Source organism: Homo sapiens, chromosome 11, assembly GCF_000001405.40.
Source record: "Homo sapiens chromosome 11, GRCh38.p14 Primary Assembly".
Lineage (NCBI taxonomy): Eukaryota > Metazoa > Chordata > Mammalia > Primates > Hominidae > Homo > Homo sapiens.
Window position 1 is genome coordinate 103271157 of NC_000011.10, and position 22308 is coordinate 103293464.

Here is a 22308-nt window from a genome sequence, read left to right on the forward strand (position 1 = left end):
TTTTCTGCGAAGATTAGTTTTTCTTATATGAAAAAGTGGAAGTTCTGTGGTTGGATGTTTAGAAATTTTATAACTTGTGGCTACTAAAGTGAATCTTAATAAGTGACACAATTTTCTTCTGCTTAAATAACTTTGAAACTCCTAGAATTGTATCTAATCCTTTGAGTTTTCTGAAAATACAGTTGAATGTGCATAAAATTATTCATGAAAATGAGTGATTTAGTCTCAAGCAGTATGTGAATGCCCAAGTTCAATGTTATATAAACTGCTTTGAGCTTAAAGCATGACTTCTCTTCACAAGGTAACATTTCTTTTATACTTTTCATTGAACATATTTGAAAGCAATAAATATAGTAGAGTAGAAGTAAAAGGAATGAATTACTTAGATTTTTTACTGCTTCCTTAGTCTCTTTGAGGATCATGGGGTTTATGGAATGTTTTGGAAGTAAATTTGATATGACTATTATATAGTATATCAGTTTACTGTATATCAGGTAGTTATTTTACTGATCACCTTTTGTTAAGTGCCTTACATATACTGCCATTTAATGCTTACAACAATTCTGTTATACAGAGGAATAAACTAAGATTTACAGCTAATAATCTTTAACTTAGATCTAGAGGATAAAAGAAGACATTTATGCAGCCAACAGACACATGAAAAAATGCTCATCATCACTGGCCATGAGAGAAATGCAAATCAAAACCACAATGAGATACCATCTCACACCAGTTAGAATGGCGATCATTAAAAAGTCAGGAAACAACAGGTGCTGGAGAGGATGTGGAGAAATAGGAATGCTTTTACACTGTTGGTGGGACTGTAAACTGGTTCAACCATTGTGGAAGTCAGTGTGGCAATTCCTCAAGGATCTAGAACTAGAAATACCATTTGACCCAGCCATCCCATTACTGGGTATATACCCAAAGAATTATAAATCATGCTGCTGTAAAGACACATGCACACATATGTTTATTGCGGCACTACTCACAATAGCAAAGACTTGGAACCAACCCAAATGTCCATCAGTGATAGACTGGATTAAGCAAATGTGGCACATATACACCATGGAATACTATGCAGCCATAAAAAATGATGAGTTCATGTCCTTTGTAGGGACATGGATGAAGCTGGAAACCATCATTCTGAGCAAACTATCGCAGGGACAAAAAACCAAACACTGCGTGTTCTCACTCATAGGTGGGAATTGAACAATGAGAACACTTGGACACAAGAAGGGGAACATCACACACCAGGGCCTGTCGTGGGGTGGGGGGATGGGGGAGGGATAGCATCAGGAGATATACCTAATGTAAATGACGAGTTAATGGGTGCAGCATACCAACATGGCACATGTATACATATGTAGCAAACCTGCACGTTGTGCAGATGTACCCTAGAACTTAAAGTATAATTAAATAAATAAATAAATAAATAAAAAAGAAATTCTAGTGCATCCTGCTTGATGCTGAAGTTATCTTGCTGATAAGATGCAGTTGAAACAAACCACTATGCCTGGAAATGTGGACTTGATCTCAACTATAAGATTCACTTTAAGATGTCCTAATGTCATATTAATCCTGATCTAGTAGTTTCACTCTAATTATAATTATTTACTAGAGTGTATGGGATTTAATGTATGGGAGGTGTGGTTGACTTAAACCATCTAATGGCCTACTGTCATTTATTAATTTTTCTTCATTAGGTAGTTATTCATTTAGAGAGTTATTCACTTGAGATTTTGCTTGTTATATATCCCCTTGATATTAAAATATTTTTAAACAAAACTCAAGTATATTGAAATAAATTGTCATTGAATTAAAGTGACCAAATTTCTTGATCTGATAAAGCAAAAATAGATGAAGGATTTTAAAGATACCAAAATATTTGCTCAATTTTGGATTTTGACAGTTTTTTTAAAAAAAAAACTATTCAGAAAGCCTTAATTTATTCATTTTTTTCTCCCTTCCCTTCCCTCCCCTCCCCTTTTCTTTTCTTTTTCTTTTCTCTTCTCTTCTCTTTCTTTTCTTTTCTTTTCTTCTTTCTTTTTTTGATAGAGTCTTGCTCTATTGCCCAGGCTGGAGTGCAGTAGTGCGATCTCGGCTCACTGCAACCTCTGCCTCCTGAGCTAAAGCCATCCTCCCACCTCAGCCTCCCAAATACTGGGACTACAGGCACACACCACCATGGGCGGCTACTTTTTGTACTTTTTGTAGAGATGGAATTTCACCATTTTTCCCAGGCTGGCCTCAAACTCGTGAGCTCAAGTCATCTGCCCGCCTCTCCCTCCCAGGATGTTGGGATTACAGGCATAAGCCATGGCACCCAGCCCCTTAATTTTTTTATTCTTAATTTTAATTCAGTTTAACTGGAAATAATGCAGCCATGCACTTGTGCGCATGTTCTTTTTCTCTTTTTCTGTAAATTGTGTTTTTAGTATTATTCTTGAATCATTATTGTTCTGCTTTATAATGTTATTGTTAAATACTTATGGCTGAAGGGATTTATTGGTACAGGTAGGCAACCAGATATAGGGCCAAAAGAGCTTTCTTTGCCATTTCCAGCTTAGAAAATTAAGGAAGAAGATCCTGGTTGGCCTGTCTGAGGTCACATGGAAACCCTTGTATCAATGTCTATGGAGTGCTGCGATGTGATTGAGCAACACCGTAATTATATGCTCATTCTTAAGGTCAGGATATCTTCTGTAACCAGATAACAGGAGAAGGGTAACCACCATTACCCACTTATTGTCTACATATTATGTGCCTATTTTTTGACAACATTTTGGAGTTTTGGGCTCAGTAATAATTAGCAATTAGTTTACTGACTCCAGTGGATAATCTGAGGACCATAGACTGACAGGGGCTTTGCTTCTGTTCTTGAACCTAGAGACTACATTGTTCTTCCTCAGTACAAGTGAAGAAATGGCTAAAATAAATGTAGTAGTACTGTGTGTACATTTGTTTGTGTGTGTGTGTATATATATATATACACACACATATATATATATCTGTGTGTGTCACAGATATATATATCTGTCATAAAGAATTAACTAGGCCAGGCATGGTGACTCATACATGTAATCTCAGCACTTTGCATGGTCAAGGTGGAAGGATCACTTGAGTCCAGGAGTTTGAGGCTGTAGTAAGCTATGATCACACTACTGCACCCCAGCCTGGGCAACAGAGTGAGACCATGTCTGTAAAAACAAACATCAAAACAAATGAAAAGAATTTGCTATATCATTAAATTATAAGTATTGAACAATATCATTAAATGATAACGTTTTTGAATTAATACATTTATTGTCTTATTTATCTTTATCGATAATTATGTATTTCTTTACCTTAAACTATATGTTATTATAATCATTTTAAAGATTCATTAATTTATAAAATATTCATCTTACTAGCTTCTCCAGCTCATCATTATTTAACTACAAATCTGAATTTTAACCTAATACCTAAGAATACTACGCTACACATCTTCCCAAAAGACACACCTTGCTTTTTATAGTATTTTAATTCTCATGGTAGTTGTTTCATATACATATTAGTTGGTTGTAACTGTTTTTGGGGGTTTTTCAGCCACACTTGAACAATGGCCAATTGCTTAGATCTGTTATGTTTTGAGGGATTTAAAATTTATTTATGTAGGCTGGGCGTGGTGGCTCATGCCTGTAATCCCAACACTTTGGGAGGCTGAGGCGGGCGGAAGACCTGAGGTCAGGAGTTGGAGACCAACCTGGTCAACATGGCGAAACCCCGTCTCTACTAAAAATACAAAAATTAGCCAGGTGTGGTGGCGGGCACCTATAATCCCAACTACTGGGAGGCTGAGGCGGGAGAATCACTTGAACCTGGGAGGTGGAGGTTGCAGTGATCTGAGATTGCGCCACTGCACTCCAGCCTGGGCGACAGTGAGAGACTCCGTCTCAAAAATAAATAAATAAATAAATAAAATAAAATTTATCTATGTAATATTCATTGGCTATGTTATAGTTGTGAATGTGTTTTTTTAAAGTAGGGTTTATTTTTTAGAGCAGTTGTAGGTTCATGGCAAAATTAAGCAGAAAGTATAGAGATTTCCCATACATTCCTTGCCTCCACATACTGTACAGCCTCTTTCACTATCAAAATCCTGCACCAGAGTGGTACACTTGTTAAAACTGTTCAACTTACATTGACACATCCTAATCACCTGAAGTTCATAGTTTACATTAAAGTTCACTCTTGGTATTGTACCTTATATGGATTTTGAGAAATTTAAATGACATGTGTTCACCATTCTAGTATCTTACAGAGTAGTTTCACTGCTCTTAAAATATTCTCTGCCTTATCATTCCTGCTCACTTAACCCCTGGCAAACGCTGATCCTTTTACTGCCTATAGTTTTGCCTGTTCCAAATTATATTCTAATTATATTTGTCATATAATTGGAATCATACAGTATGTCAGTATGTAGCCTTTGTAGATTGTCTTCTTTCACTTACTATTGTACGTTTAAGGTTCTTTCATGTTTTTTTCATGGTGTAATATCTCATTTCTTTTTAATGTTGATTAAAATTCCTTTATCTGGAGGACCACAGTTTATCCATTCGGCATCTACTGAAGGAAATCTTGGTTGCTTCCAAGTTTTGACAGTTATGAATAAAGCAGCTGTAAACATCCATATGCAGGTTTTTGTGTAGACATAACATTTCAACACATTTAGGTAAATACCAAGGAAGGCAATTTCTGGATCATATGGTAAGAATATGTTTTGTTTTGTAAGAAACCGCTAACCTGCCTTCCAAAGTGGCTGTACCCTTTTGCATTCCTGCCAGCAATTAATGAGGGTTTCTGTTGCTCAACATCCTTACCATTATTTGGTGCTGTCAGTGTTTTGGATTTTGGCCTTTCTCATAGGTGTATAGTAGTGACTTATTTTAATTTGCCTTTTTCTGATGACATATGATGTGGAACTTTTTTTTACATGGTCACATGTTTGTTTTTGTTAATTCACTTAATCAAGAAATAGTTATTGAGTACTACACACACACACACATGCACATCCCCAATATATACTTTTATAAAAGAAATTTTACGTATGTAGGTGTGATTTTCTTGTAGGCAAGGAAATAACTTGCTTGTAGTACTTACAGGAAGGTCTTTTCATTGTATGTATGTTTTGTATAAATTGTGACTTAATCTCATATTTATCCCAACCTGTAGGTTTATAATTACACATACATATAATACTAGATGTAAAGTATTACAATATGGGAAAAGCTATATAAATTATCTGTTAAAACTTGGTAGGAAGGTTTGTGCTTAATAGATGGCTTCTTTTTGTTAATAAACATTTAGTGGGTTTTTTAAAAAACGCAAATGATACAAGCTTATTTTTAGAAAATTTGCAAAATACACATAAGAATAAAGAAAACAAAAAGGACCTATAATCTTAAAATTAAATCACTGATTAAAATTTTGCTATTTTAATGTGTTTTTGCAGATGTTTATCCATATATGTATGTTTTTATAAACATCTTCCTCCTCCTTCTACAAAATGGATTATGCTGTATATATTTTGTTTTGATTATTATTTATGATAGACTTTTGGATATTGTTATATAAGGTTTCCCTCTGTTATAAACAATCTTTCAATGACTGTCCTTATTTCTTATTAGGAGCACATACGTGATCCCTTTGCTTAAATTTCTAGAAGTGAAATTTCTTTATATAAGGACATGTAGAGTGTTAAGGAACACATAAAATGCCCTCCAAAAAAGACAGAGTCAATTTCATTCTCAACAGCAATCTATTCGAGTTTTAAATCTCTGAACCTTATTTATACCAGGTATTTTATAAAGTACTTGGCCTTACAATTCTTATTTTAACATATGCCACTTAATTTTTTAAATTACAAGTTATTCATGCTCTTTGTAATAGCCAAATAATGTATACATATAAATAAAGAAAAAAAAGTCTCCTTTTCAGTCTCTCCCCAACTTGTTACCCCCTTTTAGACCTTATATAACAGGTGTTAAAAATTTGGTTTTATTCTTCACAAATTTATTTGTGCTCATATAGTTATACAAAGTGTGTGTTCAAATTTTATCATGTATGGCTTTTTGTATTCAATTTTTTAAAAATTTAGCTCCAATTTTATTTTAATGTGGGTAATTTCCTTCGGTTTTTCTTTCATTTTACTTATATTTTACAAATTTTTCTTCATCTGGGTCTAATTTAAACAATTATAAAGTTCTCTCCCCCTCCTTCATCTGCCTTTTTCAGAAGCGCTGTATACTTCTGGGATGTTTAGTCCCTTCTTACATTCTTGAGTATTTAATGATACTTGTATTAGAGTCTCTTTCAGATTGTTCTATTATCTGAAATTCTTAACATTTTAGTCTTCTTTTCTGATGTGTCTAATGACCCTTGCTTATAGTGGATTGTTTTCTCCTGCTGATAATTTTGGACCGTGAACCCATCTTCAGTGATACTTTATCTTTTGGAGTTCTTTGAGAACAGGGTTAGGGGAGTAGTTCTCTAAAGCAAGCTTGCCTCGACTCTTACCAGGTAACCTAGTGACATCATGATTAGTTCTGTTGTTTAGGGACTCCCTGTCAGTCCATTGTTAAAATTTATGCCTTAAGTCTGTGCTCGGCACAAGTATGATGTTTAATTTTTTCAGAGGACGCTTTTCTTTTCCCCAGATTCCAGGTATATTTGTTGCTTCTTGTGAGCATGGGCACTTTTTTCTGGTTCATATTTTTGCTGATAATGTAATTCTTTAAGGGCCCAAGTTTTAGAAAGAAAGAAATCTCATTGTTAATATTTCTCCTTATGTTGGCTCTGGTAGGTTGTGCCCTAGGTTACCATGACTGTTTTCCTCTAAGGCAGCCATAGCTGGTTTTAATGCCACTCTGGTTTTCAATTCCCTCTTTTTTTCTGATGCTTGAGGACCTTTTATCCAAGATTTTAGGTATTTGTAGCTGGAATGTTTTGAAAATTAGTCTTTCATCTTCCATTTTGCTAGAACTGAGTCACCAATTGCTGATTTTCTATCTTAATTTCCTGCAAGTTGGTAATTGTGTTCCATAGACAAAAAGATTAATAATGATTAAATAAAATGTAGGATCTGTTTTATTCATTATTAGTACTAATAAAATGATAATAACTAATGTTTATTGGGCTTTTAGAGTGTCCTAGGTACCATGCTAAGTGCTTCAGATACATTATCTAATCTAATTATTAAAATAATGCAGTGAGGTAGATAGTATTTAATATTATTGTCCCCTGTTACAGAGAAGGAAACTGAGGTCAAGAGAGATGATGTAATTTGTTTCTGGCTAAGGTCACCTGGCTAGTAAAATAGGAGGGATGGAATTTATATCCAGTTTCTTGATTCTGGACCTGTGTGGGTTCTTTTTTCTTTTTTTTGACACGGAGTTTCACTCTTGCTGCCAAGGCTGGAGTATGCAATGGGGAGATCTTGGCTCACTGCAATCTCCGCCTCCAGAGTTGAAGTGATTCTCCTGCCTCGGCCTCCTGAGTAGCTGGAACTATAGGCGCATGCCATCACACCCAGCTAATTTTTGTATTTTTAGTAGAGACAGATTTTCACCATGTTGGCCAGGCTGGTCTCGAACTCCTGACCTCAGGTGATCCGCCTGCCTTGGCCTCCCAAATTGCTGGGATTACAGGCATGAGCCACCATGCCTGGCCCTGTGTGGGTTCTTAATGCCCATGTAATGAGACTGTTCTTATAAGAAATACTTGTTATCCACCTGCCTATTGTAGGCAATAGGGTTGCAGTGGAGAACAAGGCCTACCCAGTCTCATGGAGAGTAGAGTTAGTATACTGTGTGGATTAAAAACATTCTTCCCATAAATGGAAACAAGTTCGTTTATTTCCACAACATTTAAAAGATGAAAACATCAAATCTTATTTTGCATAGGTACCCTGTATTTAAGAGTGGTGTTTTTGATACATCATGTTACAATTATATCTTATCCATTTCCATACTATATGTCTGACACAGTATTGTTTTACCAGAAAGATGTTTTATTATATTTTAATAAAGACATAATTTTATTTACTCAATTTTGTATGCCATATATAAACTTGTGGCTCTTATTTAATTTAATATGTTCTTAAAAATTGAACCAGTTCTTACTTATGGAAAATAATTAGTTTTCAGTTCTTTGTAAATATATTATTTAATTTCAAAGAGTTGAAGTCAAAGAGTATGATCCTCCTAAGACTACCGGCAGTGGAATGTATGCGGCGTATTATTGAATTCACTTCCTACATTCTTCGACTTTGTTTCTTCCTTCTTTCTTTTTATTTTGTCTTTTAGATTGCTCCTGAAAGTCTGAATCTTAATTTCTACCTTATTTTTCTATCTTCCCTTCTTTTTTTCCTCCTTCCTTTACTGAGAAATTTCTGAGCATAATCTGTGTTGTAGTTTTCTGATAAAGTAGATACGACCTTCTCCTTTGATAACTCTCATTCTATGTGATTGGTGTCTTTTTGATACCTATTTATTGACAGCCTGTTTTTGGTTCTGCTTTCGTTTTACCTGTGAAGTACTGGGTTATCTGATAGTTTTTTCTGTATTATCTAACCTCAATTAGTTACTCATGTTTTAACTTTCTAAGTGATAACACATTGAAGGAATTATTTGTTGTTTGGACTTATTTGGTATAACTTTTCTTCTTGTGTGGAAAATGAAGAGTTCACTACAGTTTCCTGTTTGATTTAGGAAATTAATCTATCTAGTAAGGAGAAAATAGTTGTCATAATTGCATGTAGTCACCCATATGTTTAAACCTACACAGTGACAAACTGAAGATTGCTAATGCATGGAGTGGATTTGGTGGATGATGACTAATCAAATTTCACAACTATATTAATGTTTCACCTGGCTAAGTTAGTTTTGTTTTGTTTTTTAATGACATGGGCCCACTGCATAATTGTTAGTGCTTTCTCCAAAAATGTGATCACTTACTTACTCTGACCCCACCCCTGACTTGAAGTGTCTCTAAGATGTAGAAAGCAATCTGAATAGTAATTTCTTACATCGATAAAAAAGTAGGTCATATGAAGACAGAATAGAGATTTTTGTGTGCCAAATTTTAACGACTATGCTTTTCCAAAGACACAAATTTTTAAAAGGCAAGATAATATCTGTTATTCTTTGCAGGCTGATCAGTTGATGTTCGCTTTGCATTTTGTTCGAGGCATGCATCCTGAACTTTTTCAAGAAAATGTAAGTCAAATTAAAGGAGAGAAATTTTACAGTAACATAGAAATTTGTTAATGGGTGGATTTATGTTTAGATTAGAAATTATTTAGGCTAGAAATTATATATCAACCTATTAATCTTTTACTAAGTTAGAAATGTAGTATAAAATGGTGATTCCTAGTTCTACTTCCCTGTGGATGAGCCTAACATTCCAGAGTGATGGTAAAGCAGGGAAAGAAATCTACAAAGCTGCCTACATTTTTCTGAACCCAAGTTCACTTACTTAGGGCAACAGAAGAGTCAGCCTTCTTCTTTTCCCGGCCTAGGTAGTAGAGCTCATATAGAAAAAGTGAGACAATATTGGTACAAAACTACATTATTTATTGCTTCCACTGAACTGTCAAGAGGCAGCAGGTGAGGCATGAAGATGGGCAGTTCTCAGAAGTTTTCCTGAACCTACAGGTTTATGTTAATTTTTTTATGTATAATTTGTCTTCCTTGTTTATGATCTCATTTCTAGTCTGCCATGTAACCCCTTCTCAAACTTTAAAAGGACCTCCCTTGAGCTGGAGCTAACGAGACCATTTCTTGTCTGCTTACAATTTTAAAAAAAAAGCTATTTGCAAGTAATTTTTCTCATTATGATGCTGTTATCATAAAGTGAGATTCCAGTAGCCAGGGTGTCAAGGGATGGTATATGGACAGTGCAACTTTGACTTACTTTACTCTACTTAGTCAAATTTTAACTATTTTCTGGTTCCTTTCATTTGAATATAATAGTTAAAATAATGCAGACCATTCACAGTTCATATGTTCTCCCTTTGTTTTTCTCTGACTCCACATGCACTGACATGTATAGTTTCTGCTGAATTTATTAATTTGGTCCAGTTTATTCCTGCTGTTAACTTTGATTTCTTTTCCTCCTCTTATCTAATATTTTTCACTATGATCAGTATGTTCCATGAAATATATATATTCCTTATTTTTCTCTCCTAAAGTATAAACAAATTGTCATTGGGAAAGGAGAACACTTTTCTCTGACTCACATAATGTAGTAGTAATCATTCATATTTTACTTATTTGTGGCTGCATAATTGTAATAGGAAGAGTGTGTGGCCAGGGTGAGTGAAGCCAGAAAATATGTTGCTTTGGTAGTTTTTCCACATTGCTCTCAAATTTTCATATATTTTGCTTATTTACTGGCCCGTGTGTGACAGTAGTCACACAAATAGTACCTATTATTGTCTAACTTGGGGATGCCATGGGGAAGGTGTAGATTTTCTTGGCACTGGATTCTGCAACACTTGATTAATCTTAATTCTATGGCAAAAAAAAAAAAAAGATTAATGGCATCTTCTCCCAATCAGTGAGAAAAAAATGCGTTAATGGAATTACTTTTCTCAATATTTCCTACCAGATACCATTTTTAAGTTTTTGGGTGCACCTTACTTCTACTTATTAGCAACAAATAGCCTGTGGGAAAACAATTAACAGGTAGTGACAAATGTTAAGTGAACATGACATTTAAATTTTTAGACATTGAGACTCATATATATAATGGAGTTGTTTTGTTTTAATAAAATTATTCTTAGTAGATTTCATATTAATATTTTATGTTGTCACATTAATTCATTCTTGATAATGTTAACATACTAGAAGAAGTGGTAAGATGGAAATGAGTATCTGCTTAGAAAAATGCATTTTAAGCCATCTTATAAGGAAAGTTAGACAATTTTGTTAACTGGTTATCATTTTTATATTTTTGTGTTCCTATATTTTTATTCAATAGGAATGGGATACGTTTACAGGTGTGGTTGTTGGAGACATGTTACGGAAAGCTGTAAGTTAAAATAACAAAATCTATTTTGCTCTTAAAGAAAATATTTCTGGCTTTTTGTTCATGAGGTATAATTTGCTTCAGAGGTGTTCTAAATTATTGTTGAAGTTATAATTTGATTAGAAGAATATATTCTGGCCTCTTAAGTATTTCCTATAAAATAGACAAGTATATTTGTTTACTTTGAAGACATATATTCTGAGAATAATATGTCATACTAATGAATTAATGCAGTTTCTTTTTCTCAGTATATGTATTTTATTCCAAGGATATTTTATAATCTTTAAGAAAATCAAATCTTATAACTTGAAAATTTTTCTTATATACTTGGAGTTTTAAAATTACATTTTAGAACTTTTTAATAACTTCATTCAAATTTAGCTTTTTTTCCTACTAATTTCCTATTTGAATACATAATGAATAATAGTCTTCCAGCAGTACACCCAAAATATAACACGGAACATAGATCATGTCTGAAATGTAAGATATAATTTTAAAAAATGTAATTTTTATGACAGTTCCTCATGACATTTGAGTTTTTCTGAAGTTTCATGAAAGATTAAGCACAATGAAAAAATGATTGCAACATTTTCCTAAATGGTTCTCAGTCCCTTATGTTACATAGAATTTTACCATGGTGACTTGTAAAATACATAAAAATATAAAGAAATAATGCATAGAATGAATTTTTTTCAAAATAATAAAATAGCTAATCAATTGCTATTTTTTAAACTCTGAATTTTACCAAGTATACTAAGGAAAATAATTGCTTTTATTAAAGGACTCTCAACAAAAAATACGTGATCAGCTTCCGTCTTGGATAGATCAGGAACGAAGCTGGGCCGTGGCAACATTAAAGGTATTCCTTTTCTACTATGAGACATGTTTTAATTTCTTCTGTATTTGCATTGTTTCTGTTGATACTTTGTGCTCCTTATTCGTAATCAGTGTTAACATTTTTAATAGGATGTAAGTTCCCCCAGTAAAAAGTTACCAAAGAATTATTGTAATTAGTCCTTTAACCAGTAATTATTAAACCTTTCATTTATGAAATAGCATGCCTTCCAAATACAGTATTTTCTTTCTCTCCCTTCCCACCCCAGCCACCATGGTAAGTTAGGCTATGAGAATGGTGACATGGGGGAAGAAAAAGCAGTTTAGAAGCTTAACTCTCAACAATTCTGTGTTCTTCAACTACTCAGGCTAAAATGTTGTTTTTGTGGGGAATGAAAGACAAGTCTATGCATATGTTTCCATCCTTCCGTTCCTTCCCCTGCTTTTCTTCACAACTGTTGTATCATTATAACAGCACCTGATAAAAACAGTAAGAATAGCTAGCATTTACTGATGGCTTACTATGTTCAAGGCATTATACAGAATTTTAAAATGTATTATCTCACTAAATATTTTCAATAACATCATGAGGTAGCTATTGTAATTTTCCTTGTGTCACAGATGAGGAAATTAAGGCACATAGAGATATAGTAACTTGTTTATGGTCACTTAGGAAGTAGAGCCAGGATTTAAAACTATGTTTCTTGTTGCATAGTCTGGGCTTTTCACCACTACTCTTTACTGCCTTCATTTCATAAACATTGGTTGAGTAAAAGAAATGAAAAAAAGGGGGGGGAATTCTGCTATATATCCTCCATTTTTTTTTCATTAATCATTTATTTGGTGCTTACTACCAGTTGGCATAATGCTAGTGACAGTCTTTACTTGACCAAACTTTAGTCAGGCTCTTGAACCTTCTTCTAGGCCCACCTGTGCACTTCCTTGTAAAAGCTACTTTTAACAGAACCCTGCAAAGTTGGTTTAGTGAGAATTTCTTAATCTTCCATATCTGATTACCCTTGAAATCTAATCAGATTCCTCATTCCCCACCATTCCCCAGGTGATTCTGATGACTTCGGCCTGTCTTCAGCAAGAATCCCATTAGGTTGGTTTAGCCAGAAATCCCTGTACCCCTGATATTTCCTCTTAGTAATTTTCCATCCACTGACCTCACTTTGCTCCTTGGCTATAAATTTCCACTTGCCTATGCTATATTCAAAATTGAGCCCTGCTCTGTACTGAAGTCTCTTTTCGCCTATTGCTTCCTCTATTGTAATAGTCCTGAAAAAAAATCTGTTTTTAATGCTTTAACTACTGACAAGCTCTGGTTTTTTGTTCATACCAGTGGAATGACAGGTGTATTAAGAGACTCTGCCATGAACAAACTTACATTGTAGAGAGCATATCAAATAATTACCTTGTCATAATGGTTGACAGTATACAAGGTAGCCAAATACATGATGATAATATAATGTGTAGCACACCTACATTAGCAATGATGGGGCCTTGTATACTAAATGTCAATAAAGTTAACAGACCACCATCAAGCATTACTTTAATAGGCTTAGATCATTTATTAAAAAGTAATTAAATTGAAATGTAATTTATTTTCTGCTATTTAATTTAAGTTACATAATGAAATTTGGGCAATATAATGGATTATTTTTATATGAATATAAATGTTTGGATAATGCATTTTTTATATACTTGATTTATGTTCATATTATATGAAGTTCTATACTGAAGATATAGATCTTCTAAATTTCTCATTTGTTTTCAATGAAAATTCTTCACCTTTACAGATTTACATTTCTGATCTTACACCGCACTCTTGAAAAATTTGGGAAAAGAGAACACTGTTTGAGGTAGAGGGATTAATGTGTTTGGGAAAGCCTCTGAAAGATGATATTGTTTAAAGTGAATATTGAACGTGGAATAGAAATTTGTGAGGTAGCAAAGAGGGTTAGAACATTTAGAGACAAATAGAGGCATTTACAAATAGAGACATAAACAAATAGGGTTTAGAAAAACATTCTTTGTTTTTGGATTTGATACTGTTTTAGAAAAACAGAGCTTGACAGAGTTTAAAACTGAAGATAAGTTTTATTGCCATAGGGGAAAAGAGATGTCAGTATAGTACTGGGCTCAATTCTGAATATAGCATGGACAAGTGGGAATTTGTACCCAAGAAGCAGGGTAAGGATTAGTGCTGGGGGTCAGTGAATAGAAAACTATTAAGTGGAAATGTCAGTGGCAAGTGGGGATTCTGGCTAAACTGATTTAGCTGGTGAAGGCAGATCAAGATGATCAGACACCAACAGATAACAAGGGTGGGAGAGGAGGAATTTTTCTTTTTTTCTTTTCTTTTTTTTTTTTTTTTGAGACAGAGTCTCGCTCTGTTATCCAGGCTGGAGTGCAGTGGCGTGATCTCGGCTCACTGCAACTTCTGCCTCCCGAGTTCAAGTGATTCTCCTGCCTCAGCCTCCCGAGTAGCTGTGATCACAGGCGCCCACCACCAGCCTGACTAATTTTTTTTGTATTTTTAGTAGAGATAGGGTTTCACCATGTTGGCCAGGCTGGTGTCAAACTCCTGACCTCAGGTGATCTGCCCGCCTCAGCCTCCCAAAGTGCTGGGATTATAGGTGTGAGCCACTGTGCCCGGCTGAGAGGAGGAATTTGATTAGATATTCAAGGTAGGGATTCTTGCTAAAGTTACTTAGCAAAATTCTTATTAAAATAGGATACAAGGCAGGACACAAAGCCCCTGATTGAGGCCTAGTCAAAGAGAGCTCAGAGGAGCCTGACCGAAGTTTTGACAAAGAGAGTCTTTGTTAATATGAAATTTGACATACTTAACTTGACAATCCTTAAAATTTGCACTTGATCTTAATGACAGCACTTGTTTCCTTCACAAGGTGGAGATAGCTAGGTACAAATGTTTTTACATAGAGAAAAGATTAACTCATGAGTACTGATTTAGTACTACTTTGGAAGTGTATTTTAATTCTGGCTTTAATATTAGGTGAGTTTACCATAGAGTTGCCAACCTAGAAATAATTAGACAAGGCAACACAAAGTAGAAGAGTAATAAACATCAACCAATAATTGGTTCTCACTTTTAGTTTTTTTAAAAATAAATGTATGTGCTTATATTTGCTTATAGCTCACTGTATATGGCCATTTTTATTTTTTAGATTGCTCTCCCCAGTCTTTATCAGACCCTCTGCTTTGAAGATGCAGCTCTGTGGCGTACTTATTATAATAATTCAATGTGTGAGCAAGAGTTTCCATCTATCCTTGCAAAGAAAGTTTCCTTATTTCAGCAGGTAAAATTTAGTGTTATCTAAATGCAAAAAAGTGTTTAATGTTTCTCTTATTATTCAGAAGCCATTTAAAGGAAAGCTTTGCTTTTAGAGTGTTACTTTACCTTTAATGGCGTATTTGGGGAAGGGCTTGATCCTTTTGCCACCTTATTGACAATTAAATCACGCCAAAGTTTCTGGGTCTGGTTTCTCTCTCACTGTGGCTTTTTTTATTCCTTTTGTCTCAGACCCGAGGGGGATTTTGTAATAGGAAAAATGTATTTCAGAAAGAAACTAAGGTACAAATTGTACAAGTTTTACAATCATTTCCCAGAGTTATTTTTAAGGAAAAGACCTAATAGTGAGTAACAGGGGATTTTTCCCATTCTATTTTAAAATAGAATGTTGAAACCTACTGGCAGGTTCCGCTCAAACTTTTTTGCTAGTCAAAAAGCTTAGAGTGGGAGAGCTCTTCAGAAGTTGATGCTCCAGAAAATGACCTTTCCATTTATCTCTTCTCTGGATCTAACCCCTTTGTGTCTCCATATACAGTGAATTCTATTTCCCCAAAAGTGCTTAAACAAAAAGGAAAATGACTAAGAAAAAATTGATTTGAAAACTTAAACATCTAGGAATATCATAGATATGCATGAATCAGTAGTCCCAGCTACTTGGGAAGCTGAGGTGGAAGGATCACATGAGCTCAGGATTCGAGGCAGCAGTGAGATGTGATTGCACCACTGCACTCCAGCCTGGGTGACAGGGCAAGATGCTATTTCTATTTTTTTTTTAAACGTAAAAATAGTGATTTGAAAATTTTAGGGAGGATTTCTGGTTTCTGGGCCTCTGTTTGCTGTCAACAGAAATGCCTCATCTACGTACCATGATTTTCACCTGCCATTTAGCCTTTTATTAGATCCAGAAGATGTTTCTAACCCTGTTTACTTTTGATGATAGGCTTGAGGAAGTAAATGGATTTCAGTAATATTTTTGATATATACTTGCTATATACCTATTGTGACAGTTTAAAGCACAGTAAATAATATGGAACAATGATAAGTGTTCCCATATTTAGTAAACATTTGTTTAATTAGTTAACATTAATTATTGTTTAGTTAAAGTAGTTGCAGCAACTTTATTCTTTAAAAATATTCTGCATTTTATTTTAAGATTCTTGTAGTACAGGCGCTAAGACCGGACAGATTGCAAAGTGCCATGGCTCTTTTTGCATGTAAAACTCTGGGTAAGTGTGATGCTTTTCAAGAACTAGACCACTGACCTGAATTATTTGTTTTTAATTTACCTTTCATTTTATGTTAGCCTGAGTTTAGAAATGTTATAATGTCTCTTTTATTCATTCTGTTTATTTATCTTCCAATCTCTACCTGTTTTAGAAAAATAATTCTCGGCTGGGCATGGTGGCTCATTCTGTAACTGCCCAACAGGTTCAACTTGCCTGCTGCCTAGACAGAGCTGATTTAGCAAGACAGGAGAATTGCCATGGAGAAAGAGTAATTCACACAGAGCCGGCTGTGTGGGAGACCGGAGTTTTATTATTACTCAAATCAGTCTCCCTGAGCATTGGGGGTTACTATTTAAAGATGATTTGGTGGGTAGGGGCTTGGGAAGTGGGAAGTGCTGATTGGTCAGGTTGGAGATGGAATCATAGGGGTTTTCAAGCGAGGTTTTCTTGCTGTCTTCTGTTTCTAGGTGGGATCACAGAAATGGTTAGGTTTTACAGTAGTGGTGTTATCCCCAGGAGCCATTTGGAGATGTTCAGACTCTTGCAGCCACAGGCTGCATTACCCCTAAACCATAATTTCTGATTTTGTAGCTAATTTGTTAGTCTGCAAAGGCAGACTAGCCCCCAGGCAAGAAGGGGGTCTTTTTGAAAAAGGGCTGTTATGAATTTTGTTTCAGAGTCGAATCGAAACCACCTTTGCAAAAATTAAAACTGAGGTAATTATGACAGTGAAAGAGCTCAGGCCAAACTGACTCCATCTTGCTTCTAACCTATAAGCTATCCTTGTTCATTCTTGGGCACAGGCAGAACTAACCTTGGGAAGGAATTTAGTTTATGGTTTGACTCTGAAACAATATTGATAATAGCCCTTTCCCAAAAAGACCCACTTCTTGCCTGGGGATAAGTCTGCCTTTGTAGGACTAGTAGGTTCGCTATGAGATTAGAAATTATGGTTTAGGTACTGGGTGTGGTGGCTCATGCCTGTAATCCCAGCACTTTGGGAGGCCAAAACGGGCAGATCACTCGAGGTCAGGAGTTCAAGACCAACCTGCCCTACATGGTGAAACCCCGTCTCTACTAAAAAAAAAAAAAAAAAAAAAAAAAAGAAAAGAAAGTAAAAGAAAGATTAGCCAGGCATGGTGGCGAGTGCCTGTAATCCCAGCTCCTCGGGAGGCTGAGGCAGGAGAAATGCTGGAACCCAGGAGGCGGAGGTTGCAATGAGGAGATATCATACCGCTGCACTCCAGCCTGGGCAACAGAGCAAGACTCAATCTCAAAAAAAAAAAAAAAAGAAAGAAAATTATGGTTTAGGGGTCATGCAGCCTCGGGCTGCAAGAGTCTGAACGTCTTCAAATGGCTCCTGGGGATAACATCACTATTGTAAAACCTAAGATCAGTAGTTGAGATATTTTGCAGACCCTGCACTAGATGGATCAGCTGACACAACCTAGTCCGGTAATCTGGCTCAACCAATTCTGTGATCCCACCCAGGAATAGAAGACAGCAAGAAAACCTCACTTCACCCCCACTGTGATTCCATCTCCAATGTGACCAATCAGCACTCCCCACTTCCTAAGCCCCTACTCACCAAATCGTCTTTAAAAACTCTGATCCTGAATGCTCAGGGAGGCTGATTTAAGTAATAATAAAACCCCAGTCTCCTGCACAGCTGGCTCTGTCTTGGTAAATCAACTCTGTCTAGGCAATGGGCAAGGTGAACCCATTGGGCACTAAAAAACCATAAGCTAAATTCCTTCCCAAGGATAGTTCAGCCTACATGCAGGAATGAACAAGGTCAGCTTAAAGGCTAGAAGCAAGATGGAGTCGGTTAGGTCTGATCTCTTTCACTGTCATAATTTCCTCAGTTATAATATTTGCAAAGGTGGTTTCAGTACCTGTAATCCCAGCACATTTGGAGGCTGACGGGGGAGGATTGCTTGAGCCCAGTAGTTTGAGACCAGCCTGGGCAGCATAGTGAGACCTTGTCTTTAGTAAATATTAAAAAATGAGCCAGGCACGGTGGCATGTGCCTGTAGTTCCAGCTACTCAGGAGGCTGAAGTGGGAGGATTTCTTGAACTCAGGAGTTCAAGGTTGCAGTGAGCTGTGATTCTGTCACCACATCCCAGCGTGGACAGCAGAGCAAGACCTCATCTCAAAGAAAAAAAGAAAAATGATTCTCTTTGTTGGATATAACCCATATATAATGTTGAATTAAATTTGACATCCTATATTTAGTTACGATATTTGGACTGAGTGTTCCTCAATCCAATATGATTGGTGTCCTTACAAGAAGACATCCATGTAAAGACAGACACGCAAGGAGAGTATAATGTGATTATGAAGGCACAGATTCAAGTTGTGCAACTGCAAGCCAAGGAACACTGAAGATTTTTAGTCAACCACGAGAACCTAGGAAGAGATATGGATGTGTTCTTGTAAGGACACCAGTCATATTGGATTGAGGCACACTCTTGTCCAGTATGACCTCATTTGAAGTTAACTAATTCTATTTGCAATGGCCCTATTTTCAAAAAGGTGAACCTTTTGAGGGACAGGGGTTAGACTTCAACATATCTTTTTTTTTGGGTTGGGGGGAGACACAATTTAACCCATAACACCTACCAACCAAGCTTTTCACATAATGCCTATCTTCTGCCTCACCCATATGCACACAAATATTTTGAGTCACTTTTTAGACTGGTCACCTGGTTGGTTAATGATGAGTATATGGAAATAAGTCTGGATATGTTCTGTGCTTTTGCTTACTTATGCAGGGGGAGGAAATGTCACTATTTATTCACCTCTGATAGAATGTTTATGTACCAGATAACTTTTACTCATGTTTGGCAGAGTAATTATCCACCTTTCTTTTGGTTGCAGGTGACAGATACCCATATTAAACTCGCTTAAATGAATAAAGGGAATTTATTAGTTTAAGTATTCAGTACTCAGGAAAGAAGAGATAGGGCTGGCCTTTGGGTTAACTGGACTTAGACAACATCATGACTCAGACAATATCAGGAAACTCTGTCTTTGTCTCAATCTTGCAGTTTGTCTCTGTGTTTCTCTGCCCCCCTACTCCTATCTCTCTGTTTCTCCCTTTTTCTTTGTGTCTTTGTCTCTCTCTTCCTCTCTTGTTGCTTTTAGACTCTCATTTTAATTTCTGCATGTGTGTTGTCCTTAGTCTCAAGGGTTCATAATATTCTGGTTGATAAGACCACTAACTTGCTGAGTTATGTTTTAAAGCTTATGATGAAAGGAGAAAGATAACTTTTCCTTCCCAACTTCACCATCAAAAATCCTAGAGAAGGACTCTGATTTACTCAATTTAGGTTACATATCCACCTCTGCAACTAATCACATCAGAAATATGTGGAATTACATTTCTCCAAAAGCAGCCATGGATGGGGGAGTGGTTATTACCAGAAGTGAAGGAGGGGATGCTGGTACAAAATAATAGATATGCATGATAATCAGGCTACATATAACCTGTTTTAATGTTTATATTTATTGATAGTTTGATAGCTGACCTATTAATTTGTAAAGTGCAGCTGGGCGTGGTGGCTCATGCCTATAATTCCAGCACTTTGGGAGGCCAAGGTGGGCAGATCACCTGAGGTCGGGAGTTTGAGACCAGCCTGGACAACATGGTGAAACCCTGTCACTACTAAAAATACAAAAATTATCTGGGTGTGGTGGCAGGCACCTGTAATCCCAGCTACTCAGGAGGCTGAGGTGGGACAATTGCTTGACCCACAAGGCGAAGGGTTGCTGTGAGCTGAGATCGTGTCACTGCACTCCAGCCTGGGCTACAGAGCAAGCCTCCATCTCAATAAATAAATAAATAAATAAATAAATAATTTTTTAAAGTGCATTTTGGTAGTCTAACTCCTTTAAGAGTTATAAGTATACAACTTGATTCTGTAGCTGTTGGAGAAAATGTTCTGTAAATGTCTGTTATGTCTATTTGGTCTATAGTACAGATTAAGTCTAATGTTTCTTTGTTGATTTTCTATCTGGATGATCTGTCTAATGCTTATAGTGGAGTGTTGAAGTGCCCTGCTATTATTGTATTAGAGTCTATCTCTCTCTTTAGCTCTAATAATATTTACTTTATATCTGGATACTCCAGTGTTGGGTGTATAGATACTTAGAATTCTTAAATTCTGCTGAATTGACTTCTTTATCATTACACAATGACTTTGTTGGTCTCTTTCTATACTTTTTGTCTTGAAATCTCTTTTATCTGATATAATTATAGCTACTTCTTCTCTTTTTTGGTTTCCATTTGCATGGAATATCTTTTTCCATCTCTTCATTTTCAGTCTATATGAGTCTTTATATGTGAACTGAGTTTCTTGTAGGCAGCATAAAGTTGGGTCTTATTTTTAATCTATTCAACCACTGTTTCTCTTTTACTTGGAGAATTTAGTCCATTTATATTCAGAGTTATTATTGATAGGAAAGGACTCTGGCTATTTTAGGAAAAGACTAACTACGGCTATTTTGTTTTTTTGTTTTCTGGTTGTTTTGTTAGTGTCTTCTTCTTCTCTTTTTTTTTTTCCTTTCTTCCTGTCTTCCTTTGTGTATAAGTGATCTTCTCTGGTAGTATATTTTAACTTCTTGCTTTTTTTTATGTGTGTATGCATTATAAGTTTTTCCTTTGTGGTTACTATGAGGCTTGAAGAAAACATAACCAGTGGATTTTAAACTGATGACAACTTAACTCTGATTACAAAGAAAAGAAAAGAAAAACAAACCAAGCAAAAAGAAAAAATTTACACTTAAACTCAATTCCCTTTCCCCCATTTTGGGGATTTTTTTGGTCTCAATTTATATCTTTCTATATTGTCTATCTCTTAACAATTTATTGTAGTTAGTATTTTTGATAGGTATCTTTCAGACTTCATAATAAAGATATGAATGGTGATATACTTTGAATATACGTCCCTAGCAAATCTCATGTTGAATTGTAATCCCCAGTGTTGGAGGTGGGGCCTGGTGGGAGGTATTTGAGCCATGGGGGCAGATCCCTTGTGGCTTGGTGCTGTCCTCACAATAGTGAGTGAGTTCTCTCAAGACCTGGTTGTTTAAGCATGTGGCACCACCCTCCCTACTCTCTCTTGCTCCTCCTTTTGCCATGTAACATGCAAGCTGCTGTTCTCACCATGTGAGATGCCTGCTTCTCCTTTGCCTTCTGCCATCAGTAACAGCTCTCTTGAGGCCCCCACAGAAGCTTAGCATGTGCTGGTACCATGCTGGCAGAATCATGAGTCAATCAAATCTCTTGTCTTTTTAAATTAGCCCATCTCAGGTATTTCTTTATAGCGACACAGGAATGCCTAACACAAGTGACTTACACACCGCAATTACAGTGTTAGCATTTTATGTATTTGTCTGTATACTTACTTTTACCAGTGACTTTTATACCTTCAGATGATTTCTTGTTGCTTGAGAATCCTTTTCTTTTAAATTGAAGAATTCCCTTTATAGTTCTGGTGTTGGTGACATTTTTTAGCTTTTGTTTGCCTGGGAAAGTTTTTATTTCTTTTTTATGTTTGAAGAATGATGTTGCTGGATATAATATTCTAAGTTGGAAGCTTTTTTTTGCCTTTAGCACTCTGGATATGTCATCCCCCTCCCTCATGGCATGTGAGGGTTCCACTGAGAAATGTGCTGCCAGACATACGGAGCTTCTTTATATGTTATTTGCTTCTTTTGTCTTGCTGCTTTTAGAATCTTTTCTTTGTCCTTGGCCTTTAAGAGTGATTATTATATGCCATGAAGAAGTCTTATTTAGATAGAATCTGTTAGTGATTTTGGCTGTCTTGTACCTGGATATTCTTATCTTTCTCTAT

The 22308-nt window shown here is 35.8% G+C and overlaps 1 protein-coding gene across 5 annotated transcripts in view; it reads left to right on the forward strand.

Moving 5' to 3' along the window:
- Window positions 1–22308, forward strand: part of DYNC2H1 (dynein cytoplasmic 2 heavy chain 1) — a 370438-nt gene that overhangs the window by 161731 nt on the left and 186399 nt on the right. For all 5 annotated transcript variants that reach the window (NM_001080463.2, NM_001377.3, XM_017018291.2 and 2 more), the window contains 5 exons: window positions 9192–9257; window positions 11023–11073; window positions 11852–11929; window positions 15099–15230; window positions 16377–16449. In NM_001080463.2, the coding sequence (NP_001073932.1) occupies window positions 9192–9257; window positions 11023–11073; window positions 11852–11929; window positions 15099–15230; window positions 16377–16449 (400 nt within the window). The remainder of the gene's footprint in view (window positions 1–9191; window positions 9258–11022; window positions 11074–11851; window positions 11930–15098; window positions 15231–16376; window positions 16450–22308) is intronic.